Raw genomic sequence first — 27,363 nt, forward strand, 5'->3', positions numbered from 1 at the left:
CCTTTTCTAATTGTTCCCAGTAGGAACAACACACACACTGGAACTGAAATTCCTACTATTTCCAAAGATGTATTGAAGTCACACACACTGAGATTTACTACAAAGGAAACTCATCCTTCTTCTAAAAAGACAAATATGTGTTGTTTTATGTTTTAGTGCAGCATTATTTACAATAGCAAAGACTTAGAACAAACCCAAATGCCCATCAATGATAGACTGGATAAAGAAAATGTGATACATATACACCATGGAATACCATGCAGCCATAAAAAAGAATGAGTTCATGTCCTTTGCAGGGACATGGATGAAGCTGGAAGCCATCATTCTCAGCAAACTAACACAGGAACAGAAAACCAAACACCACATGTTCTCACTCATAAGTGGGAGTTGAACAACGAGAACACATGGACACAGGGAGGGGAACATCACACACCGGGGCCTGTCAGCGGGGTGGGGGGCAAGGAGAGGGAGAGTAGCAGGGCAAATACCTAATGCATGCGGGGCTTAAAACCTAAATGATGGGTTGATAGGTGCAGCAAACCACCATGGCACACGCATACCTGTGTAACAAACCTGCACGATCTGCACATGTATCTCAGAATTTAAAGTGAAATTAAAAAATAAAATAAAAAAGACAAGTACATGTTGTTTTATTTAGGTACATCTAAGCCCCCAAGAATTTAAAGGAAAGTATTGGCTCTCAAGCGATTTAATCATGTATACAGAGAAGTTATCTAAGAAATCCTTGGGGTGTCATCTATATATGCTGATATTTTAAACTTCACCTTTGGTTATTCTGTTCCTCAGAAGAGTTGGAGAATAGTTAGCTTTTCCCTCAAAAAACAAATTCCTGAGAGATTGTAATAAAGCCTGTCTAAAGATATTAGTTAGTGATATGTAGCACTAAAGCAGTTTGCTATCACTTTTGGTGGTCTTTTCAATTGTTTACTAGGTCTCAGGTCGGTCTCTAGAGTAGGGTAATGATGGTTGCTGAGTACTTATAATGTCATATAACACTTGGGTATCATGAAATGATAGCAGCGAGGCTTTTGTTAGAGTTCGGCAAAATTTATCCTTGTAAAGCTTCAAGGCTGGAAAGATTACCAGGTGTATCTGGTAGCTGATGGGCTAAAATAACAAACCTTTATGTGAAAAGGAGCTCTTTATAGGGTGTGCCTCAAGGTCAGGCCTATTGGATTGTATATTTGTAAACAGAACCTGCCGAGATTAGTCCTTACCTCAGGCAGTTCATGATTCCGCTCTAGAGAGAGGCATTTGTCACTTAACTTGTCTCGGACCCTTGTCCTTGTTTTGCAAATGCAACCATGGTATCTTAGCAGAGAGGTGAAACTCTACACTTCCTTATCTAATTCATTTGTGCATTATTGTCATTCCTGTTTAGGATGAATGTATTGCCATTCTCTTTCAATTGAATTCACTTGGAAGTAAAGTTTATCCCTGGTGGGAGACCCCTTTTTAGATTACATGTACTTACCCCTGACCAGTAACTGTCTCCCGGTAGTCCTGTGCACTGCTCGGCTTGAGACTGAATTCTTATGCTTATCATGACTCCTTTGGATGAATCTAGATCCATTCCCAGAGAGGAGTGTCAACTTTCCCTCAGGGCTATGTTGGGGAGGTAGAGCTGCTGGAACAAAACTGGGAACCTCTTAGTGAGGTAAAAGAGAGGAATGCATACTTGATAGCCAATAGTGTCAAGTACAGTTATGTTCTTGCAGTTTCCAAGGTCATTTTTTTTTATTTCTGAAGTATAAAAGTACTCTCAGCCTTTTTAAGGCCTTAAATACAACAATGATCCTTTAAAAATTTATTCCCCCAAATTGTGCTCTTCCCCCCTCTCCCATAAGAGTTCCTTGAAGCAGACATCACACCTGGCTCTTCCAAGTATGCTTAGCACTTAGCACAGAATGGGCATCATAGGCACAGAATGAATATTTACAGGATAAATACATAAACAAATGTAACTTGTTTTCTGAAATCCCCCGGGATTCCAGAACCTCAGACTTTGTGTAGAGCAAAACAAAACAAAAATCCAGATCTCTAAGAGTCTTGAGAAAAATCTCCCTGTAACAGTGTTGTCTCTTTTTCTCTCCTATTTTAGTGTTGGCATTTTACTTTGATTTTATTTTTATAAAGTTTACGACTACCTTAAGTAGGATTAAAATTATGCTTTTTAGTTTCATGTAACAGGGTGACCATGTTATTGTTTTTTAAGTTGTTAAGATCCCATAATATAAAGGTGTTTACCATATTTTTTACTAGATTGCTGATTTTCTGTTTTAATTCCCTAAGTCTTTCTTTTCTGCCCACTCCCAGGGTAAGTAGGAAGAAAAGGATGATAAAAAATGAGAATGCATTTTAACAGGTCTTGTGTGTACTTTCTGCTAAGCGTTTCTCACACCATCATTGTGATGGGTTAACTTCATTAGTCCCATTTAAAAGATGAATTTGTAAGGTTCGGAGGCAAGTGATTTTTCTAACATCTTTGTATTAGTTATCCATTGCTGCTGTAACAAATTACCACAAACTTAGTGGCTTAAAATGCAAATTTGTAATCTCCCAATGGGTTCTTCCTGCTGCACAAATAAAACCAATTCACTGAGGCAGGTTGTATTGCAGTTGAGAAAGAGTTTAATTAATGCAGGGCCCACTAGCCAAGTGGAAGACGAGAGTTTATTACTCCAATCAGCCTCTGAGTGGGGGCAACAGGACCAGTGGAGTCATGAGTCATGGGTCTAGGTGGAGTCAGTTGGTCACCAGAATGCAAAAGTCTGGAAAACATCTCAAAAGACAAATCTTAGGTTCTGCAATACTGATGTTATATGATGATGATGATGATACAGATATAGGAGCAATTGAGGAAGTCACACGCCTGGTCAGTAAGTGAATTGTAGAAACGTAAGCTGGGGGACAGTGGCTGGTTGTCCTTTATGCCTACATCTTAGCAGAATTCAGGCCTCTCCCAAAATTCTAATCTTGTGGCCTTTCATTAGTCTTACAAAGGTGGTTTTCATCCCCCAACAGGGAGCAGACCAGTTTTAGGGAGGGACTATTACCATCCTTGCTTCAAAGTTAAACTAAACTAAAGGCCAAGGCAGGCAGATTACCTGAAGTCAGGAGTTGGACATAAACCTGGCCAACTTGGCGAAACCCCGTCTCTCTAAAAACACAAAAATAAGCCAGGCATGGTGGTGCACTTCTGTAGTCTCAGTTACTTGGGAGGCTGAGGCAGGAGAATCGCTTGAACCTGGGAGGCAGAGGTTGCAGTGAGCCAAGATAGTGCCATTGCACTCCAGCCTGGGTGACAGAGCGAGACTCGGTCTCAAAAAAACAAACAAACAAAAAATAAAAAATAAACAAAGTTAAACTAAACTGAATTCCTCCCATGGGTAGCCTGGCCTACACCCAGGAGTGAGTGAATACAGCCAGCCTGTGAGGCTAGAAGCAAGATAGAGTCAGCCAGGCTAGACTTCTTCTCTTTCATAATCTTTGCAAAAGCAGTTTCAGATTTATTCTCTTATAGGTCAGAAGTCCAAAGTGGATCTGATTTAGCCAAAATGAAGGTGTCAGCTAGGTGGTATTTCTTCTGGAGGCTGGAGGGAAGAATCTGACTCCTTGCTTTCTTCCAGCTCCTAGAGGCTGCTCTCCAGATTCCTTGACTCGGGGCCACTCTCTCCATCATCAAAGCCAGCAGCTTAGCATCTTCAAATCGTTCTCTGACTCTGACCATTCTGCCTCCTCCTTCCATTTCTAAAGAAAATTCTTGTGATTAGGTTGAGACCACCCAGAAAATCCAGAATAATCTCCCCATCTCAAGATTATTAATTTGAGGCTGGGAAGGAGAGGGGATGAAGAGAGGTTGTTTAATGCATACAAATATACAGTTAGAAGAAATAAGTTATAGTGTTGGATAGCACAGTAGGGTGACTACAGTTAAGAATATGTTATTGTCAGGCCGGGCACGGTGGCTCACGCCCGTAATCCCAGCACTTTGGGAGGCCGAGGTGGGTGGATCACCTGAGGTTGGGAGTTTGAGACGAGCCTGACCAACATGGAGAAACCCCATCTCTACTAAAAATACAAAATTAGCTGGGTGTGGTGGTGCATGCCTGTAATCCCAGCTACTCGGGAGGCTGAGGCAGGAGAATCACTTGAACCCAGGAGGCGGAGGTTGTAGTGAGCCAAAATTGTGCCATTGCACTCCAGCCTGGGCAACAAGAGCAAAACTCTGTCTCAAAAAAAAAAAAAGAATATCAAAATAGCTAGAAAATGTCTGAAATGTTCCCAGCACTAAGAAATGATAAATGTTTGAGGTGACAGACATCTGAAGTACCCTGACTGATCATTATGTGTTATACATATGTATAAAAATATTACATGTGCCTCATAAATGTGTACAATTATTATGTATCAATACAAATTTTAAAATAGAAAGATCATTAATTGCATATTTCAAGTCTCTTTTGCCCTGTAAGGTAATATATTCAGTTCTAGGATTTAGGACATAGAAATCTTTGAGGGAAGCATTACTCTGCCTATTGCAGAGACCCATATAATGTCCTAACAGAATTGACTTTCTCCAGGTTTCTAGCTCTCTGCATATACAAGAAAAAAGTTTTTGGCTTTTTTTGTGTGTGTCTTCTCCTGGTACTTCTGTCTTGGATATTGCTTATTTAATTTTACAAAAAATTCACAGCCTCTGTGTTTGTTTGAATAAATTGAGGTTGAAAAGTGTTCAGCCACAGCAATGATACCTTAATAACATAATGGGAGAGGAGACAGCGTCTTGGCAATTGAGACCTGTGAGTTTTAGACAGAGATGTTTAAAACTTGACATATTGCATGAACTCACAGAGTCTTCTAACTTTTGTCTTTTAGGCTTATGTACAGAAGTACGTCGTGAAGAATTATTTCTACTATTACCTATTCCAATTTTCAGCTGCTTTGGGCCAAGAAGTGTTCTACATCACGTTTCTTCCATTCACTCACTGGAATATTGACCCTTATTTATCCAGAAGATTGATCATCATATGGGTTGTAAGTATTATTACTACTCATTAACTGATGCTACTTCTAAAACAACTACTTCCTTTGATACTCAAGTACTTTGCAAATATGTTCTTTCTTTTTTTTTTTTTTTTTACCACTTAGAGTTGAATTTGTTGCCTAATTTCCTTTGGAAAAATTAGAAAGCAATAGACACAACTTGTGTTCCCTGAACAGTAAGGGAATTGTAGAAAGGTAAGCTGGGGGACAGTGGCTGGTTGTCCTTTAATGATGCCTACATCTTTGCAGAATTCAGGACTCTCCCAAAATTCTAATCTTGTGGCCTTTCATTAGTCTTACAAAGGTGGTTTTCATCCCCCAACAGGGAGAGGACCAGTTTTAGGGAGGGACAATTATCATCCTTGCTTCAAAGTTAAACTAAACTAAAAGCCAAGGTGGGCGGATCACCTGAGGTCAGGTGCCTCCCAGGTTCAAGCGATTCTCCTGCCCCAGCCTCCCAAGTAGCTGGGACTACAGATGTGCACCACCACACGCGGTTATTTTGGTATTTTTAGTAGAGATGGGGTTTCACCATGTTGACCAGGCTTATCTCTTACTGCTATGAACACAACTTGTTTTATTTGTAAAAACCAAATCTGTGATTTTGTGTACTTTGAGATATACTTTCCCAAGGGTAGATCAAAGTAGGAGAGGGCATAAGTGATGACCAGAGAAGAAAGGAACCTTTCTAAGGACCCATAGAGTGGTATGAAATGCATCCTCCCAAGAGGCCTATTTTAGTAAAATTTGATCAGAACCTAAAATCAGAAGCTGTTGAGCAATACCTCCAAGCAGTATTAAGTGATTATACACATGGGAGAGGCCAAAACACATAAGGCAAAGCAGCTTCCTTGAGAGAACGTCTAGTGTAGCAGGAGCAGCTGCAAATACACAGAAACCATATGACAATCCCAGGTAGACAGGCAGAGCCTTTTTCTGCTGTTTCACTGGTAACCCTGGCATTTAATTTTGTTCAGGGCCAAATGAGTTCTGATTTTGTGTCTCATTGAAGGAGATGGTAGTCATTTGCAAGGCAGCAAGGCATACTCCAGATATGTAGGTTTGGTATCAGAGAGGCCTGAGCTCAAGTACAGTCCAGGCCCCATCTGTGTGCCCTTGCGCTGAGCCTTACCTTCCTCATTTGTAAAATTGTGTGAATAATGTGCCTCCCCAGAATCATCGTGGGAATATCTAGAGTGTGCACAGAGCTCTAGGCCTGGCATGTGGAGGACTCTGCAGGTTGCTATTTGAGCATGATAACGCATAGTGACTGGTGCATGAAGGCGAAGGAGTCTTGAAGATCAACCAACTCTAAGGTCAAAGGTTATTTAGCTGGTGGAGGGAACTTCCAGACAAGACTGTTGCCCTGACTCAAGATTCTGCACTAGAAATAGAGGTTCAGAAGCACTTGGTTGGGTATAAAAGAGAAGATTTTAGCAAGTGACTTTCCTATGGTGAGCATTATGTTTTCTCATTTGTAGAACAAGTAGAATGGACTTGATCAGGGGTCATAAATTCGAATGTTCTCAGGGGCAGGGGACAGAAATAAAGCAGCAATGTCCTGGGCCAGGGTGAGGGGTGGCAAGGGCGGGGTATCCACACAAATTCTTCACCAGGTGGTGACAGAGGGACTAGGGAGCAACTGCCCCTGGCTCCACCTGGGACTTCAAATCCCTGTCTCCCAATAGCCCTCTTTTGAAATCTAGCTTCTGTCTAAAAGTATAATCTGAGAGTCTGCAAAAGCATAGGCATCTTGCAAATCATAAAGAGAACGTTAGTCCAGTTGTCCCTCCCCGTTTCTGAGGCCACTTCTGTGTCCACGGAGCAGGCAGGATGGGGGCAGGAGAGAGAGAATGGGAGTGGTCCTTCTGTTCTTAACATCTGAAAACCCTTGGAAAACCTATGGGCTTGAGTTTCTTTCCTACTGTCGTTTATTTTCTAAGATGTGTGTGTGTGCGTGTGTAAGGTATAACTGTATATATATGTATGTGTGTATATAGGTGTGTGTGTATATGTATGTATATAGGTGTGTATATATGCGTATGTGTGTATACAGGTGTGTGTATATCCGTGCGTGTATATAGGTGTGTGTATATGTGTATGTGTGTATATAGGTGTGTATATGTGTATATATAGGTGTGTGTATATATGTGTGTTTATTGTATGTATATAGATGTGTATATATGTGTATTGGAGTATATAGGTGTGTATGTATGTATGTATAGTGTGTATATGTGTATATATAGGTGTGTGTATATTTTGTGTATTTATGTGTGTATGTATATAGGTGTGTATATATGTGTATGTGTGTATAGGTGTGTATATATGTGTGTTTATAGATATGTATATATTTGTGAATGTATGTATATAGGTGTGTATATATGTGTATGTGTGTGTATATAGGTGTGTATATATCTGTGTGTGTGTATAGGTGTGTGTATATGTGTATGTGTGTATATATGTGTGTGCATAGGTGCATATATATGTTTATGTATATAGGTGTGTATATACATGTATGTGAGTATATAGGTGTATATGTATGTGTGTATGGGTGTGTATATGTGTGTATATAGGTGTGAGTATATATGTGTGTCTATGTGTGTGTGTATAGGTGTGTATATATGTGTATGTGTGTATATAGGTGTGTATATATGTGTATAGGTGTGTATATATGTGTGTTTATAGGTATGTATATATGTGTGAATGTATGTATATAGGTGTGTATATATGTGTATGCATGTGTGTATATAGGTGTGTATATATGTTTATGTGTATATATATGTCTGTGTATATATGTGTATTTGTGTTTATAGGTGTGTATATATGTGTGAGTGTATGTATATAGGTGTGTGTATATATATGTGTGTGTGTGTGTTCTAAATCCCAAAACTTTAATAATTGTTGAGTGGGGCAGATGATGAGAAGTACATTACACAGGAATATCTTATAATGTGTTTGATCTGCTCATGGCCAATTATCTCCCCCACTGAGGGTGGAAAACTTTCCCTGAGAGCTGGGAAGACCTCTAGACTCTATAGAAGGCTGTGGCTAGGGGACACTCTCGTTGCCATTATTGGTGGTTATTTTCTGCTTCGGATTCCTCACTTCAAAGCGTCAGAGTGCTTGTCTGAGGCAAAATGACAAGCTTTTGTCATAGAGTGAGGCAAATAAAATCTTTGCCCAAGAAAGGAAGAAATAACCTCTGAATCTGCAGTTTGTCCTGAGGTTTGGCCACCTGTTACTTGACTTTTTAAAATCGGTGCATGGCCTGGTTCACCAGTCCCCCTGTGCTGAGAGTTCTGTAGTTATTCTGTGTGGTCATTGTAAGGAAGTGTGAGAAGCGTAAGGTAATGTGAGAAGGCAGTGTGAGAAGCGTAAGGTAGTGTGTGCGTTCCTGCCAGTGCCTGGGGAGAGAGTGGAGGCCATTCCAAGGGGCGAGAGGGAGAGAGGGAGAGAGGGAGGGAGGGAGGGGGAGAGGGAGGTGCGGGTGTGCTTGCGTGTGTTTGTGCATCTTCGTGTATGTGCATGCATTTGTGTGTGTGTGTGTGTGTGTGTGTGTGTATACGTACGCGTGTTGGGATTAGGGGTGCTCTCTGATGGGCTACAGAGACAATAATGAGAGATATTTGGTTTGCCTCCAGAGTTGAAGGTGGATGAAAGGAAGGGCAAGTCCCGGAGGTTGGGGCGGATTTGGGAGCCTGGGGTGGTTAAGGGTTAGGTTCTGGTACTTGGGCCAGCCAGGGCAATCAGCTTCCTGCTGAGGCAGCCTTTCTTCAGAAAACGATATCCCTAAATTAGTGGCTGCTTCTTCAAAGGGGTAGGGATTAAGAAATGTTAATTACATAAGGGACAGAGCTTGAAGTCTTGTAACTGAACATCTTATCTCGCCCAAAACTCACTGGAAGGCAACTTTGTTCAGGACTGCCAAAGCTTGGCACATTTTATATTAATTTGGGAATTGTCACTGGATGAAGCCCCTATATAGGTTTTATTGCTTTTAAAAATCTTGTGTTACATTAAGGGTGACTCACACTGTCTGAAGTAGCTTAGCAGAATTTATGGTTGTTATCAAGTGCTCTCTCCTCACAATCATAATTAGTCCTCACCTGTATTGTACATCTTTTGTTGCTTTTATAGGCATCTATGTTCATTATCTTATTTGAGCTTCATAACAATGGGCAGTATCATTTTTTAGATTGGAATAGTAATATTTCAAATATTGATAAGCCATACCCTATATTGAGCATTTAGTATATATGCCATTCGCTGTCAGAGTGCTTTACATATTTTACTTCACTTAATCCTACCAGCAATACTGAGAAATAGTTATTACCAGCCCACTTTACAGATCCTGAAACTGAAATGTAGAAAGGTTAAATAACTTGCCCAAGATCACACTGGATTAAATGGCAAGGTGGATTTGCTCCTGCGCCCAGGCCTTGTCTACCAGGGGAAGCTGCCGTGGTTGTTTCTTAGAAGAACGCAGCTAAGTAGCATAAGGAGCACAATATTTTTTAAAGATGCTAAAACTGGGGCTTCAAGTATTACAATGATTTGCCCAAAGTTTTCTTCTATTGAATATTTGCTTTGGTTTGTGTTCCAGCTGTGCTCTTATGGCATTTATTAACCCTGTGCTCTGCTTGACTGTTTCTTATCTACCCTTCTTTTTTTTTTTTTTTTTTTTTGAGACAGAGTATCGCTCTGTCACCCAAGCTGGAGTGCAGTGGCGCGATCTCGGCTCACTGCAAGCCCCACCTCCCGGGATCACACCATTCTCCTGCCTCAGCCTCCCAAGTAGCTGGGACAACAGGCGCCCACCCCCACGCCCGGCTAATTTTTTGTATTTTTTAGTAGAGACGGAGTTTCACTGTGTTAGCCAGGATGGTCTCGATCTCCTGACCTCATGATCCGCCCACCTCAGCCTCCCAAAGTGCTGGGATTACAGGCGTGAGCCACCGCGCCCGGCCTCTTATCTACCCTTCTTAACCCATTTATGCCTAGTGTTCCATTATTGGAACGCGAAGCTTGTGGGAGTTATTTATATCCTACTGCTCAAGGTCATCGCTAAGGTCTGATTTTTCACACACAAAAATTTGCAACCTCCAGCATAAATGGGTTAACAAACCTTAACAAACCCCACAGTATGGAATAAGCTTTTGTTAAATTAACTGAAACACATCAATCAATTCACTAACTTCTCTCCTCTGTCCTGTATCAAGGTTTTTAACCTATCTTTGGGCTCAAAAGAATTTTAGACATTGAGCCAAAAAAGACAGCAAATGGATTTTCTGATTAGAATGCTTATAAAGAGATATTGAGGATGATGTTTCAGAAGATGAGTCACTACCCCATGGCATGATTATCTAATCTCTTCACTTTCATTTTGGCATGGTGACAGACCTAACAAAAAAATAAAAGCTTTAAAGTTATATTTCTGTATCTTTAAAAGGTTAGAGGCAACTTCACTGAACTTGGGAGGTATTTAGTTTTGTAACATGAGGCAAAATCTCACTCACTTTTTTGCTAAATTCCTCATTTTGTGAAATAGCAATGCAAACATTGACACCGCAACTCATCCTGGGAGTTTGGAAGCCTCATTTTCTCTGTTTTATTGTGATATTTTACACTGATATTTCTTTCCACGGATACTTCATGGCATTCATAATGAGATGTAGAAAAAATGAGATAAACAGATACAAAGTGAAAGTAAGGAGAGCACAGATACAATAGAAGATGAAAGCCCAGGCTAAAGTGAAGTGTGGCATGCTGGTTCAAAGGTGAGCCACAGATTCATATTTGAGCTTTGTCTTGACCGACCAAAATGAAGTTATGCTATCCACTAGGAAATCATAAGCCTGTTTCTAAGAGAGCAAACCTTTTCCTGACTCGTGAAATTGATAGTGTATTGTCAAGGCTAGTGATACATGTTGCTCAATTATTTTCTCAGAAATATCTGGTGTCAGTACCCGCTTATCATCTGTGTGAGAGTACTCATTCTGACTCCTTTTCCTGAACTTTCGGTGTTCTCATTTTTAAATCATTGCTAATTTAACCAAAGAAAAATGGTATTTCCATGCGTATATTCATTGCAGCACTATTCACAATAGCAAAGTCATGGAATTAACCTAAATGCCCATCAATAATAGACTGGATAAAGAAAAGGTGGTACATATGCAGCCATAAAAAGGAATGAGATCATGTCCTTTGCCAGTACATGGATGGAGTTGAAACCATTATCCTCAGCAAACTATCAGGAACAGAAAACCAAACACTGCATGTTCTCACTTATAAGTGGGAACTGATTGATGAGAACACACAGACACGTGAGGGGGAACAACACACACTGGGTACCTGTTGGGGGTTGGCAGGAGGGAGAGCATCAGGAAGAATAGCTAATGGATACTGGGCTTAATACCTAGGTGATGGGGATCTGTGCAGCAAACCAAAATGGCACATGTCTACCTATGCAACAAACCTGCATATCCTGCACGTGTACCCCGACCTTAAAATAAAAATTGAAATAAAAAAGAAAAATGATATCTCAGTTAACTTCCAGTTCATATATAATTAGTGAAGATGAAAACATTTTTCATACTTTTATTAATCATTTGTATTAACTTGTATGAATTGTCAGTCTGCCTTGTATTTTTTTAAAAGGGGCTTTCATTTTTTATTGATTTCCACCAGTTGTTAACGTAGAATGATACTGAATTTTCTGTGTCTCAGAGGCAGTGTATCTTTATATGTAAGATGTTTAGAAGTTCAAGACTTTGAGAAGTGGTATTTAATTCTATAGTATCATCAATAGTGACCTAGGAAAATCCTTTAAAATGGAATTTGAATGCTTTTATACTGAGTGCTCACTTTAGGCACAGACCTCACCATTCCCTTTATGTCTTACCCTTTATGACCTCCCAGGTCCTTTACAGGCCATTTAATGTGGGACTCCTGTCCTCGGGCACTTAATGTTTCTGGTGTGTAGTTTCCCTGCATAAAAGAGCTTACTGTGGGGGGTGACCAGCCCTTAGAAAACCTGGTACATGCTGCCTGAACTCCAGTAAAGTTAAAATTTGTTTCTGAGTTTCTTCTTGATTTTTTTCCCCATTTGTAAGATTTGTTTTTTCACCTAACATCAAAAGACATATTTCCCACCATTCTAACATAGCATGGTTATTTTTAAGTAAGTGTTATTGTAACTGAACTGTTATTATGGCTTTTCTGATTATGCTGAAGCTCTGGTTGTCCCTGAGAGTTTCCAGACAGGGTTAATCTCTCTTCTAATAATTATTGGCTTTTGATCATCTCCCAGATTGGAAGCAAGGAGTACCTGTGTGAGAAGAGGGTGGGGCTGCTTCTACTTCACCAGCAGCTTTGAGGTTTGGTCAGAAGTTTCTGGTCCTATAATACCATGAAAGGAGCACCAGGCTGATGTAATATAGGTAGTGTTTCTTAGCTTTCAGAAACAGAGACCCACTCAAGCTAACTCAGGAAAGTAGGAATTTGCTGTAAAGTGATGGAAAATCTAAGAACCAGAAGCTCACAGGAACAAATGCTAGTGAACAGTTTGGCTGTCTGCTATAATTCAATTGTGATTTTCCTGATATCTTCTTCTTTATCTCCTTCTGTTGGCTGGTTACTTTCTCAACTGTCTTTTATTTGATTAATTGATTGATTGATTGGAGACAGGGTCTTGCTGTGGTACCCAGGCTTGAGTATAGTGGCACAATCATAGCTCACTGCAGCTTCGAATTCCTTGACTCAAGTGATCCTACCACCTCAGCCTCCCAAGTAGCTGGAACTACAGGCATGTAGCATCACACCTGGCTTAGTTGGGGGTCTCACTATGTTGGCCAGACTGGTCTCGAACTCTTGACCTCAAGCAATCCTTCCACCTTGGCATCTCAAAGTGCTGGGATTATAGGCATGGGTCACCCCTCAACTGTCTTTCAGTTCAGATTTTCAAGACAGCCAGACACAGCCCCTGGTGTAGTCTGGTAGCAAAACTCCATCCATCTCTGGCCAATGCATAGATTGGCTGTACTTGGTCCAAACAGCTGTATTGGGTAAGGATGGACAACTAACTAGGGCCACAGAGCCATGGGCCAGGTTCTGGAACATCAGGAGACCTGGACTGCAATCTTAGCAGTGAAACCTTCTTCAAGGAACTTGGAGATTCTGCCCTGCAGATTTCCTAGCTTCAGAGTGAAAGGACCCAGCTAGAGGATCTTTGGAGGCTTGTGATGTCATGACTCTTCATTATATGTTTGTTATGTGACACTTAAAACAGATTGATCCATGGTATAGAGGAAAAAGGAAAAGAAGGAAAGTTGGGCGGGACAACATTAAAAAAATAGAATAGAAGGTATTTCATCGCTTGTGCAGACTGAATGCTAATATGGCTTTACTTATTTTGTCTTGTGTTTTGAATCACCTCAGTATGAGACAGTACACTTGAAATGCATATCAACTCCATTGCTAAATAATTGTTAGCTTGTCTGCTGTTTTGTATTCAACATGACTGAAGGAATGCTTTAAAGGAAAATGCGTAATTGCGTGGCAAATATAAATTTCATTTTTTTTTTTTTCTGTAGAGCCAAAGTCCTGGTGATAAGGAAGCCTTAAAAGTGGAAGATTCCTTTTAGCAGGTTCTTCTGTTCCTATCCTTCTAAGACAAATTATGTTAAAGAGCTCAAGTTTAAAATGGTGGTTTTTCAGTATCTTTCACATTCTGATTATCAGCAGCTAGCTAGCTGATACTTACAGTAAAAACTACACTGAAAATTTACATTTAAATTGGACATACTATTTAGATAGTGTTTAACTGCTGTAGAGTTTAGGGTATTATTTTATGCAACAGTCATAAATTGGTTAAGAGGTAAACGTTTTGTGATAATGTGTCAAAACAGACTAGTGTGTTTTGGGATGTGGGCAGGCTGCCATCTGGCTGTCTCATAAGGGAGTCTGTCACCTGGTTAAAGACAAGAGGGAAAAAGCCTGTCCCATCCCTGTAATTCACAATCCTTAGACTGGGGTCAGTCTTAGTGCCAAAAGATGACTTTAAATGTGATTATCTCTTAATCCTCTGTTTAAACCACTACCCCTACACTTCAAAAGATTGCCCTGCTTGTTAAGTTGGTTCTTGCTTGAGATTAATGAGTCTTTAAAAGTATTCAACAATGGCCAGATTGTCACCCTCACTAACTTGCATTGAACGGAATAGAATTAGGCGTCAGAGATTCTGCCTAGTCCCTCTGAAGTGGAATCTGTAATTTAGCCTTAGTTAAATATTAAGTAAATGTCTCTAGGGGGTTTATTATAAAAACTGCATTGGTTTGGTTTTGAAACACAATAAGGAAAAGGTTTGGTTTTAGTGTAGGTTTAAAAAAAAGAAAGCTCTTAAAACTGGACTTGTGGTGAACAAATAAGTTTAGATCTCTCTAATTATCAACCATCTTTACCAGAAAAATGATTCTCTTTTTTTATGATGATGACTGGAAAACGTGCTCACATTCTTCCGTCCCTCTCTCCTTCCTTCCTGCTGCCCCTTCCCCACAGCTGCTAAGACTGCAATGCTGTTGGTGGAGTAGAATTGTAGCTGTCCCAGATAGAGCCCGTTGTTCCCCTCACCCCCAGGATCATTTCTGATGCTTCATTTACTGTATCGTGTGGATGGATGGGTAATGGCTTTAAAGCTTTGTCAGGTAGAAAATTGTTTGGATCATCAGGATCCTGGAGGCAGGAAACTTTTAAAGATGAAATTCGGTTGGATCTGCTAAAGTGATGCAAAGAACTAAACACTTCATACAGAGTTTTATTGTGGAGTTCATCCTTCTTCCCTCCTTTTGGACTTATGCCAGCTGTAATGTCTTACCGAGAAAAAACAAACAGTCATTGCCAAGTTACATGTAGACCCCAAACCAAGGAGCATCCTGATATGGCAGAGGGTAAGGAACTCAGTTTCTCTCTTGCTGTGGCTAAACCTGATTCCTCCTCTACTGCCTGCAGGCGGATTGGTCCCCATAGAGGCTTCTTTACAAAGGCACTGTTCCAGACTAGATTTTGTTCCAGGTTCTCTCCTACTCATTTGTAAAACAAGAGGAAAGATAATGAGCCAATTTGTAGACCATGGAGGACTTTCAGATAAAATTTTCAAACAAAATCTTAATTTTCTCTCTCTCTTTTTTAAACCAATCAATTCCACTGGCAAAGCTGCCGTCTTGAATTGTTATGGTTCTCATGGAAGCTGTTCACTGCCCCTCCGCTACATGTACAAGTACTTTACACTCAAGAACCCATTTTACAGATGAGTACAACTGAAGTCCAAAGAGATGAAGTGGCTTGCTCAAAGGGACACAACCAGTAAATAGAATAGGTAGTGTTCATCCCTGGCGCGCTCTCTAAACCCCATCCATTCTTTTCCACTGCGCCATGTTGCCTCAGATGGCGAAACTTTACTCTTCTCCCCAGTCCAATTATTCAGAAATGTGCTTTGCCTATTTGGTTGGAAAGGCTCTGTTTAGCATTACAGTCTCATTTGCAAGTGCCTATATCTACAGCAGCCATATGTCACAGATTTTCTAGATATTTTCCTTCCAGTTCTCCATGCCTTGGTACTGGTGCGTCCCCTTCCCACCCCCGCATTTGACAGACTGAGTGTCCCAGATTTTTCACACGAACTCGAAAGGCCAGAGCATCACAGGGACCTAGCAGGGCGGAGAAGGGCTTTGGTACTTTTGTTTCGGAGCTGGAGGCCTGCAGAGGGCTGCCTGCAGATCCTGTGGGCTTGTCATTCCTGGGCCCATGTTCTACTTCCTTATCCTATTCTGTAAAGCAGCCAAGTGGAAAAGAAGGAGTGAGGGAAAGAGCAGGCCCTTTGTCCCTGTTAGGAGCTAGGGATTTGACCTAAGGGGACTGGGTATTTTTCTTGTCAATTCCTCCCCCTACACGAATTTCCCAGGCTTCTTGCCTCTGCCTGCCTTCATCTTCCCCACACCCCAGGCCTGTCCAGCTCCTGTGTGAGTGACAAGGAGCCTCCAACTCCTCACCAGCTCTCCTGTCGCATTTGAGGGTTAGCAAGTGTTCCCCATGCTGGGAAGGGGAAGGAGAGGCTTTCCTTGGTTAAGTGCTCTATCTGTTCACAGCTAAAGAGGCCACCGTTTATTTTGGCCTCTGGGATTTTCTGAAAGCTTGAGAACTGCAAAACAAATGCAGTCTTTAACTTAACTGCTGTTATTGCTTCTCTTCCCACTCCTTTCACCAGCACAGGGTGGGGCTTCCCAGGGAGCCCTCTCTAGTTAGAGGGCCCGGCCTCAGGGAACTGGCCTTGACCTCCATTCCTCTCTTGTGGGTTTGGCTGCCACAAGATGCTTCTCAGGCTCTTTTGGTGTAGTGGCCTCGATGGGCTGCACGGTGGCAGGGAGGTGCTGCATTTGCTATGCGGAAGCTGGGCCTTAGCCAGCTGAGGCTACCTCTGGGAAACTGAGGCTTTCTGAATTTGACTCCATGGGTGCCAGCCCCTCTCTCTGGACATCTGCCCTCCCCCAGCATTCCTGACCATCTCCTGGTGCCTGAAGCCCTGGCCAGTGGTCTCCTTGCTTGCGTACCCTTCTTTTTATTATTATTAGCATCATCGTTATTATTATTATTATTCCGTCCTCTGTGAGGTGGAATGAAGGGTCTTGAATAAATAATTTGCAAAGAGCCACAATATGGCTGCTTATGAATAAATAACGTTATAGAATTTGTAAACATGAGCCACATGTGGCTGTGTGGCCATAGTTTGGCTATTCCTTCAGTGAGTATGGACTATTTGCCAACTTTCAAGATATTCACTCTCTGTGTGGCAAGGGCCATCATTTACAGGTCCTGACTACATGCTAGATGCGGGGTTGTGGCCTTTATAAATATTCTTGAGCGAAGTGTAGGCACTACTATTATGACTCTCATTTTAAGGGGAGGAAACCATGTGAGAAGGCCAGCCGAGCTGACATGGCCAGAGGTGTAGAGCCTAGATTCGAACCAGTAACTCTCTGATTCCAGAATCCTGGCTATGAACTTCTGTACTCTGCTCTAACCTTTTCCCTTAATTATGGTATATATTAAGGCTTTTTTTTGTCTGTATTAAACATGTTCCAACAAATTTCATTTTTCATTTTGTGGGTAGTAAACCACATTAATTAAAAATTTTAAATTTTTAAAAATTAAAATTTTTTTCTTAAATCCTACTGTTTGATTTGAGAGTAAGTCACCTTTTCCTTCCATCGCTCTCTCTGTCCTTTGTTGTGTTTGATCTCAGCATACAGTTTATATCGTGCTTAGGATAAGTGGTTTGACATACGATTAGAAATGACTTATAACTCATGATGAATGTGTGAGAAACGGGATGGACATTGGAGAAGACTCATGAGTCTTTTAACCTAAAAGGAATAATTGAATCAAAGGATGGTTTGTTCCTCTTAAGAATTAGGTGACCTGGTTTATAATCCAAGTGAAAATTGCTCAGCCTCTATTTATTTTACCTAGCCCATGTTTTTCTAGTAAGGTAGAATGAGAAATCCAAAGGGAGGACATAGCCAGGTTGGGATGCGCTTATAGCCCGCTGGATGTTACAAGTGTGCAATGAATTGTAGTTCGGCCTTTACTAATAACTAACAAATTGACATTTCTCTGGGCCTCAGTTCAACCATCTGTGAAATGTGAAGTTGAACAAAATGACCACAGGGCCCCTCTCATTTGGAAAGTTTTATGATGATAAAAATACTGGTGGTGATGCATCTTATAGGATATTTAGTGTTTTTCATCATATGCCATGGCTTCAACCATGCATCTGCCGTCTGTTGTGCCAAACCCCTATTAACCTCACTAGAGAAGACACCAGGTTCAGGAGGCCAAAGAAGAGACCTGGAGTGAGCAAACGAGACATGGGGTTTTATTAGGGGCTTTCACAGGAGAGACAGTCCGGTGGCAGTGCGCTGGCAACATATCCATCCTCCTCCTGTCCAGTGGTGGCAGGCTGGACAACATAACCACGCAGCCCAGTGGTGGTGGGCTGTACAGAAAATCTGCAACCGCTTGCAAATAGCATGCAGTTTATATAGCATGTCACTTAACACCCACCTCCCTTCCACCAATAAAGAAGAGTTCCGCTTGGCAACCTTCATTTAACTCAACTCAGGGCCTCAATCCCCTCTACAACCCATACTCCACAGGACAGGAGTGGGGCTCAGATGTTTATCATAGAGAACAAACGAATCCACACATTGGCCACTCCTGGATTCCCTAGCTCAGAACACACATTCAGGTGCATCAGCCTTACAGGGTCATTCTAAATGTGTGCCTAAATTATTGCTATCAGGTGCGTTTACCTTGCACCCTGTAAAATCTCTCCTTGGTGACCCCCACATAACTGACTGGGTTGGTTTCTACCAATTTTCCTGTGGTCCCCCATGATAGGGAGAGGACGCAATCATTAATGGTCCTCTGTGAGAGGGGTCCTTAGGGACAGGGGTCCCCTAACCCTGGGCCATGGACTGGTACTGTAGCCTGTTAGGAACCAGGTCACACAGCAGGAGGTGAGCAGTGGGTGAGCGAGCATTACTGCCTGAGCTCCATTTCCTGTCAAATCAGCAGTGGCATTAGATTCTCTTAGGAGCATGCACCCTATTGTGAACTGTGCATGCAAGGGATCGAGGTTGTGCACTCCTTATGAGACTCTAGCTGATGTCTGATGATCTGAGGTGGAACAGTTTTATCCTAAAAGCATCTTCCCTCACCCCTATCTGCAGAAAAATTGTCTTCCATAAAACTGATCCCAGTGCTAAATAGGCTGGGAACTGCTGCTTGAGATACTGGTTGAACCTATCCTAAGTTTGAGTCACTAGGAATCATGTGGCCTTACAAATACAAGCCCAAAGGGTATGGAATTCCATGTGAGTTCAGGGCTCCCCTAGTCCAGGCATAAAGGTATGAAGAACATCAAACATGCAAGCCTTACTCTCAGCTTAGGGGGATGTGTGTGTGTGTATGTGTGTGTGTACAAACATAGACACACATATAAATTCATTGTTTGCATAGCATATACTCAGATTTAATAGAAACAGATGTTAGGTTTTTGTTCCTTTTAAAATTAAATTTCTTCTCGCATTCACAGGCACTGAAATCAGAGGGGCAAAAATGTTTGTTCAATTTGAAAATGCTTTTCAAATACATAGCAATTTGATTCTGGGGGTTGGGGAATGACATTCTGAAGGTTTTCCAAAAACACTGTAACTTGGAAATTAGCAAGTTGCGAGCAGCAGTAAGCTTGCTTCCTTTTAAATTAATATTGGTGAAACAAACAAAGGCTAAATGAGTAAGAGAGTTGATTTGTTTTATTAGGCCTTAATTGAGGATCTAGACAAAGGAGAACATTAAACCTTGTATTTACTACAAATTCTACAAGTAATTGCACACCTGTAACACTACTGCCAGCAGGATGAACCCATCCAAGCCCACCCTCAAGGGTTTCTTAAACAAATTCTGCAAAATAAATAGAGGTTGAACAATTTTCAATGTTTGTCTACATAACTGAAAAAAATATTTAGCATGAAGGAATAGACACAAGGTGATGGACTAAAAGTCTCCATTTTTTTCTGTAGCCAGCAAGGACTGTATGTTGACTGTTAATTAGAATGTATTAAGAAAAAAAAAAAAAGATCAGGGCTCATTGACTTGGGTAAGCATTTTAAACAAGCTAAAGGTTGTTTCAGGACTTTGTCTTTTTGGAGGCTGAAATTAGAAATTTAAACCTAAATTTATACCATAGAAAGCTTTTAGAATGTATGTTAGAGACTGAGCTTTAAAAAAAAAAATCAAGTCTTCTAATCTACAAAGAATGGTTGACTGTCCTACAGGGCAGTCAAAAGGGTGTGTCTTTAACACTGAAAGGATTAAATTATTAAAACTCTGTGGGCGGTGTGCGGTGACTTACACCTGTAATCTCAGCACTTTGGGAGGCCGAGGCAGGTGGATCACCTGAGGTCAGGAGTTCAAGACCAGCCTGACCAACATGGAGAAACCCCATCTCTACTAAAAATACAAAATTAGCCAGGCATCGTGGCGCATGCCTGTAATCCCAGCTACTCGGGAGGCTGAGGCAGGAGAATCACTTGAACCCAGGAGATGGAGGTTGCAGTGAGCCGAGATCATGCCATTGCACTCCAGCCTGGGCAACAAAAGCAAAACTCTGTCTCAAAAATAAATAAATAAAATAAAAAATAAAACTCTGTGAAAGCCTGAGTTGCAGAAAACCAGGTGCCTGTCTTTGTTTAAAACATTTCAGCTACCTAAAAGGATGTGTTTAAGGATGTGCTCATCTGTGTCTAGCCCTTGTGGATGTTAATTTTGAGTAAGTTTCTATATTCATGAGAAACATATTTTTATAAATTTTTATGTAGAAGATACAAAACCACCTAGAACCTTTTTAGTATGTCACCTTTAAGATTAAAATATAAAGAGTCATGCATGGGATGGACCCTGGTTCAGGAAATATACTTGGTAAGTGGAACAGGGGTTTTCTGGGTGAGATCATCCTAAAAGCTAAGGGGAACAGGCACTCAAATCAAAACCCAGGCAATGACAAATACTCTTATGGGGTCACTTGGACATTTACCAGCCTTTGCAATCTAAAATTCCAAGATTATGTACATTTATTGTTTTGTTTGAGTTCTTTTTGAGACAGGGTCTTGCTCTGTTGCCTAGGCTAGAGTGCAGTGGTGCAATCACAGGTCACTGCAAGCTAGACTTCCTAGACTTACTAGACTTAAGTGATCCTCCAACCTCAGTCTACCAAGTATCTGGGACCACAGGTACAAGCCAACACACCTGGCTAATTTTTTTTTTTTTTTTTTTTTGTAAAGGCAAGGTCTCACTATGTTACCCAGGCTGGTCTCTAACTCCTGGGCTCAAGAGATCCTTTCATCTTGGCCTCTCACAGTCCTGGGATTACAGGCATGAGCCACTTTACCCAGCAGTTATGTGCATTTGAACACTAGAGGTTGATATGAGTGAGAAGACAGGCATGAGCCTTAGTAATCCTTTTAAAAGCATCTCATAAAACAGCTTCTGAATCTTGTATTCTTATAGATTCATCAGGCCTAGGTTTCCACTTGCAGTTTTTTGGTTCGTCTTGTAACCCTGAACATAATTCATTAGTTATCTATAGCAACACTTTCTTCCTAAACTGTGTCTTGGTGTGCCACTAAATCTGTAAAACATGTAAAAGAAGATTTTATTGTGCTTGCCCAGTAGGATGATGTGATTGTACTCCAGTAATAATTGTCTCATGCCAGCTTTTCACCCCTAGGAACCATGAGTCAGTTATTATTTCTAAAAATAATCTTTAAGATGGCATAGCACTTCCAAATATATATTTTTTTTTGAAACAGAGTCTTGATCTGTCACCCAGGCTGGAGTGCAGTGCTGTGATCATAGCTCACTGCAGCCTCAAACTCCTGAACTCAAGAAATCCCCCTGCCTCAGCTTCCTGAGCAGCTGGGACTACAGATAGCTACCACCATGCCTGGCTAAGTTTTTAATTTTTTTGTAGAGACAGGGTCTGTTTTCACACTGCTGTAAAGATACTACCTGAGGCTGGGTGATTTATAAACAACGGAGGTTTAATTGACCCACAGCTCTGCATGGCTGGGGAGGCAAAATTCACAATCATGGAGGAAGGGGAAGCAGGCACATCTTACATGGCAGCAGGCAAGAGAGAGTGAGCAAGAGTAGAGGAAACTGCATTATAAAACCATCAGATCTCATGAGAACTCACTATCACGAGAACAGCATGCGGGGAAACCTCCCCCATGATCCAATCACCTCCCACCTGGTCCTTCCCTCAACAGGTGCAGATTATGGGGTTACCATTTGAGATAAGAGTTGAGTAGGGACACAGAGCCAAACCATATTATTCTGCCCCTGGCCCTTCCCAAATCTCACATCCTCATATTTCAACACACAATCTTGCCTTCCCAACAGTCCCCCAAAGTCTTAACTCATTTCAGTATTAATCAAAAAATCCACAGTCCAAAGTCTCATCTGAGACAAGGCAAGTCCCTTCCACCTATCAACCAGTAAAATCAAAAACAAGTCAGTTCCTTCCAAGATACAATGGGGGTACAGGCATTGGGTAAATACATTCATTCCAAATGGGAGAAATTGGCCAAAACAAAGGGGCTACAGACCCCGTGCATGTCTAAAATCCAGCAGGGCAATCATTAAATCTTAAAAGCTTCAAAATGATCTCCTTTGACTCCATGTCTCACATTCGTAAGAGTGCGCTCCCACAGCCTTGGGCAGCTCCTTCGTATGCTGGCATTGAGTGCCTGCAGCTTTTTCAGACACATGGTGCAAGCTGTCAATGGATCTACCATTCTGGGGCCTGGAGGACAGTAGCCCTCTTCTCCTAAACTCACTAGGCAGTGCCCCAGTGGGGACTCTGTGTAAAGGCTCCAACCCCACATTTCCTTTCCCCACTGCCCTAACAGAGGTTCTCCATGAGGCCTCCACCCCTGCAGCAAATTTCTGCCTAGACATCCAGGCAGTCCCATACATCCTCTAAAATCTAGATGGGTGTTCCCAAACCTCAGTTCTTGACTTCTGTGTGCCCACAGGCCCAACACCATGTGGAAGCCACCAAGGCTTGGGGCTTGCACCCTGTGAAGCAATGGCCTGAACTATACCTTGGCCCCTTTTAGCCACAGCTGGAGCTGAATCAGCGGGGACACAGGGCACCAAATCCTGAGGCTGCATAGAACAGGGAGGCCCTGGGTCCTGCCCACTAAACCGCTTTTTCCTCCTAGGCCTCTGGGCCTGTGATGGGTGGCCCAGATCTCTGACATGCTCTGGAGACGTTTTCCCTGTTGTCTTAGCAATTAGAATTTGGCTCCTTGTTACTTATGCAAATTTCTGCAGCCAGCTTGAATTTTTCCCCAGAAAATGGGTTTTCCTTTCCTATGGCATTGTCAGGCTGCAAATTTTCCAAACTTTTATGCTCTGCTTCCCTTTTAAACATAAGTTCCAATTTCAGATAATCTCTCTCATGTTCAAAGTTCCACAGATCTCTTGGGTAGGGGCAAAATGCCAGCAGTCTCTTTGTTTAAAGCATAGCTAGAGTGACCTTTGCTCCAGTTACCAGGATGTTCCTCATCTCCATAAGAACCACCTCAGCCTGAACTTCATTGTCCATATTACTATCAGCATTCTGGTCAAAACCATTTAACAACTCTCTAGGAAGTTCCAAATTTTCCTTCATCTGCCTGTTGTCTTCTGAGCCCTCCAAACTGTTCCAACCTTTGCCCATTACCCAGTTCCAAAGTCACTTCCACATTTCCAAGTATCTTTATAGCAGTGCCCCACTACTTTGGTACCAATTTACTGTATTAGTCGATTTTCACACTGCTATGAAGATACTATCCAAGACTGGGTAATTTATAAACAAAGGAGGTTCAATTGACCCACACAGTTCTGCATGGCTGGGAAGGCCCCAGGAAACTCACAATTATGGTGGGAAAGGAAGAGGCACATCTTACAAGGTGGCAGGTGAGAGAGAGGAAGCAAGAGCAGGGAAAACTGCCTTATAAAACTATTGGATCTCATGAGAACTCACTCACTATCACGAGAACAGCATGGGGGAAACTGCCCCCATGATCAAATTACTTCCCACCTGGGCCCTCCTTCCACATGTGTGGATTACAGGAATTACCATCCAAGATGAGATTTGAGTGAGGACAAAGGAGTCAAACCATATCACAAGTCTCACTTTGTTGCCAAGGCTGGTCTCTCACTCCTAGACTACAGCAGTCCTCCCGCCTTGGCCTCCCAAAGTACTGAGATTATAGCCATGAGCCACTGCACTCAGCCTAAATGTATTCTTAACTAAGTCTAACATTAATTTTGTAAAGCATTAATATCTACATTTACGTATGATGAAACTGAAGGTGAGACATTAATAACATCAGAGCTCATTCTCAAGCCAGCCCTCTTTTTACTTCATCGTACTGTTAGGCCTAAAATTAATGATCTCTTTGGAGTGTTACATAAGATTTATAGGAGGCTATTGGTTTGGCCCAACAGACCAAACCAAAATGGAGTCACTCATGCTAAAGTTCCACATCACCAAATCAAGACTAATCTGTTCATTTGACCTTCTGAGAGAGAATAGCCATAAAGGCCAATTTCAGTGGGCAAGCTAATTAATTTCCCTCTGTTTTAATCTTTATAAAAGAACAACCTGATGTCAACTCATCAGTCATTTTTCTATTATTCTATTTCCCTATTCCCACCTTTCAAGGAAAGTAACTTCAAAACCACCAAACTGCTTTTTGTTCTCTGTTTTGGCTTTCCTCAGCCCTTCCCTGTCTGTAAAACCAGCCTCCTCTGCTGAACCCATTGGAACACTCCTTCTATTTTATGGAATGAAGTGTTGCCCAATTCTAGAATCGCAAATGAAGCCAATTAAGATTTTCAAAGGATCCCAGCTGCACTGAGCACTGGGAAGAAAAAAGATTTTTTAAAAAAATCCTTAAGCTAAATTTGTTGTAATTTCGTCTTTTGACAGGAGGAAATGAAGAGTTTTGGAAAGGGCCCAAAAAGCTGGACTGTAGGCGGTAGAGATAGAGAGAATGTTCACGAATGAGCAAATATACTCCTTATGAAATTTCAGAGAAATGGGTAATGAGACTGACTAGTCAGGGAAATGCTGGGAGGAGGCAGCGGTGGTCTCCCAGGTCACCTTGCCAGCCCACGGCTGCCCAACTTGCACTTGTGTCTTCACTGAATAGCTATGTGTTCACATGAGACATGCCGAGGGCGCCAGCTTGGCCCTGCGTGTGCAGTTCCATGACAGTCACCAAGTGGTCCACAGTCACATACGTATCCAAAATCTTGGCGTGAGGCTTTCTCTAAGGGGAGCTAACCAAGAGCATAAATTAACCTCCAAAACAATTGTATAACTAGTCACTGTAAGATATATGGGGCCAATGAGAGCAGGATTTAAACATTTGCCAAAGACTGTACCTCTCTTTTTTCCCCCCTCTTCATTTTAAAAAGAAGTTTGTCTTTTTCTCTGTGCTAGAAGTCATGGCCTTGCCTAGCATTAGTCTCTCAGAAAGTTTCTGGAGACTTTTCTTTAACTTTCCCTTAAAATATAAGAGTTGCTGAGGCAGGAGAATTGATTGAACCCGGGAGGTGGAGGTAGCAGTGAGCCAAGATCGCGCCACTGCACTCCAGCCTGGGTGACAGAGTGAGACTCTGTCTCAAACAAAAACAAAAACAAAAACAAAAACAAAAGTTGCTGGTGGTTTGAAAACCTGAAGGAGTTTGCTAATGTCAGAGCTTACTTTAAATTATTTGCACCTAGCCAGGCATGGTGGCTCATGCCTGTAATCCCAGCACCTTGGGAGGCTGAGGTGGGAGGATTGCTTGAGGCCAGGAGTTTGAGACCAGCCTGGGCAACAAAGTGAGTCCATATCTCAACAAAACATTAAAAAATTAGTCAGGTGTGGTGGCATGTGCCTGTGGGCCCTGCTACTCGGGAGACTGAGGTGGGAGGATTACCTGAGCTCAGGAGGTTGAGGCTGCAGTGAGCCATATTCATGCCACTGTACTCCAGCCTGGAAAACAGAGCAAGGCCCTGTCTCAAAAAAATAAAAATTAAAAAAAAATCTATCTGCACCGAAGTCCTTTTATATTCAAATTTTCTCCTGCAAATGAAAAACTGTTAGAGAATATCCTCAAGATCTCTTGGCTTAAAAATGAGAGGAAGAAAAATGGCCTTGTTGAATTTTACTTGAGCTCTCTATGCTGCTAGAAAACAGAAACCATGAAGATAATCCTCCCACTCTTTTTTGTGTTCCAAGAAAGGATTTACTACAAGGAACCCCCACCTTCTCCCTGTGGCTCAGATAAGACCCACAGATGCCTCCCTTGTTTATTAGTGACAAGGCCAGACACAGACTCTCCAAATTCCCATTCTTTGGCTCATAAATGATTAGCTGAACTCTGTACCCCCTGGTCAGTCTGTACAAAATACCTGCCACCTTGACTTGACCAAACTCTAATTAAGTTTCTCTCCATCTATAGACCCCTGAACTTTGACCCACCCTTACCACACAGAATAGGCTGACGTCAGGGTACACATGGTTTTAGTATCCTGACCCACCTTCACCTTCCATTTCACTTCCCCACATCCAGTTCTCCTGAGCCTTGTTCATTCTTCCCTAAGTAATAGAAATGCCCGTTCCTCCTTTACATTCAAGACACTTGCAGACCTCTTGGTCTCCGTGTCACATAGTGCCCCGACTCCCTTCGTGCAAGAATCCTTTCGAATGGCATCTCTCCTTACCTAAATCCAGATTTGCTTTTTATTTGACAAAGATAATAAATAAATAAAGCACAGAGTTCCACCCTACAGTACTTGTGCCTGCCTGTGGAGATGTCTGTTAACACACGACAACATGAAACACAGATGTAAAACAGTTCCCGTCCATGAGGTCTTCACTTCTCAGTTTGAGACGCTTTCCAAAGTAGTAAGCAGAGTCTTATTCTCCAGGGAGCCAGGGTTGTTGCATTTATTCATTTAATAAAGACTTACCTTGTATGGACCCTGGAAATTTTGTATTCTGAACATTTCTGGAAACATTCCCTCCATTCAGGCCTGCGTCATCTTTATTTTGCACTATTGCAGTAGATGTTCTCATCAGTCTCCCTCGAGCTAGTCTTATACCTTCAAATCCATCCTCCCCACAGCATTTAGTGATCTATCTCAAATGCAGATGTGAACTTTTAAAAACATGTAATGTCTAAGCACCTTAAAATTACCTACAAGGTCTCTCACAGTCAGACTTCTGCCTCAATCTCCACCTCTAGCCCTTTCCCCTGTCTGTTCTTATCTCTGGTGAGACCCCCCCGCCATGCCCTACATATCCAGTAGGTACATATTCTACTTTGTGCTCCTTTTCTGGTGTTCCTCTGCCTTTCATGCTCTCACCATTCCTGCTAAGTCTCAGTGCAGTCATCATCTCTAGAAAAGCCACTCTGCCTCCTGTGTCTGCATTCCCTCCCAGTTGGTTTCTTATTGCTTCTTGAACCTGGCATCTGGCAGCAATTCAATAAATAAATATTGGGTAACATAAATAAAGGCTATTTCTACAAAAGTGATTTAAGAGATGTCCCCTACAGAAGCACCCATGTAAAGAGGTCATTGCAGTTCAGGATGATAAAGATATATGGAGAACATCTATAAAGTACTACAGTAGC

General features: G+C 41.8%; 1 protein-coding gene across 3 annotated transcripts in view, besides 3 other annotated features; it reads left to right on the plus strand.

Annotated features, from left to right (window-relative positions):
- Positions 1-27,363, plus strand: part of SGPP2 (sphingosine-1-phosphate phosphatase 2) — a 138,634-nt gene that overhangs the window by 45,681 nt on the left and 65,590 nt on the right. For all 3 annotated transcript variants that reach the window (NM_001320834.2, NM_001320833.2, NM_152386.4), the window contains one exon: positions 4,900-5,058. Coding sequence is in view for 1 of the 3 variants with exons in the window: in NM_152386.4 (NP_689599.2) it covers positions 4,900-5,058 (159 nt within the window). In the remaining 2 variants the exon portion in view is untranslated. The remainder of the gene's footprint in view (positions 1-4,899; positions 5,059-27,363) is intronic.
- Positions 790-1,311: an enhancer, noted in NCBI's record as "OCT4-NANOG hESC enhancer chr2:223335177-223335698 (GRCh37/hg19 assembly coordinates)". NCBI's record gives its function as "activates a minimal SCP1, AML or CMV promoter by ChIP-STARR-seq in naive H9 embryonic stem cells {active_cell/tissue: H9 hESC(naive)}" and the evidence as "EXISTENCE:reporter gene assay evidence [ECO:0000049][PMID:30033119]".
- Positions 1,312-1,831: an enhancer, noted in NCBI's record as "OCT4-NANOG hESC enhancer chr2:223335699-223336218 (GRCh37/hg19 assembly coordinates)". NCBI's record gives its function as "activates a minimal SCP1, AML or CMV promoter by ChIP-STARR-seq in naive H9 embryonic stem cells {active_cell/tissue: H9 hESC(naive)}" and the evidence as "EXISTENCE:reporter gene assay evidence [ECO:0000049][PMID:30033119]".
- Positions 8,570-9,293: an enhancer, noted in NCBI's record as "OCT4-NANOG hESC enhancer chr2:223342957-223343680 (GRCh37/hg19 assembly coordinates)". NCBI's record gives its function as "activates a minimal SCP1, AML or CMV promoter by ChIP-STARR-seq in naive H9 embryonic stem cells {active_cell/tissue: H9 hESC(naive)}" and the evidence as "EXISTENCE:reporter gene assay evidence [ECO:0000049][PMID:30033119]".

Source organism: Homo sapiens, chromosome 2, assembly GCF_000001405.40.
Source record: "Homo sapiens chromosome 2, GRCh38.p14 Primary Assembly".
Classification (NCBI taxonomy): Eukaryota; Metazoa; Chordata; class Mammalia; order Primates; family Hominidae; genus Homo; species Homo sapiens.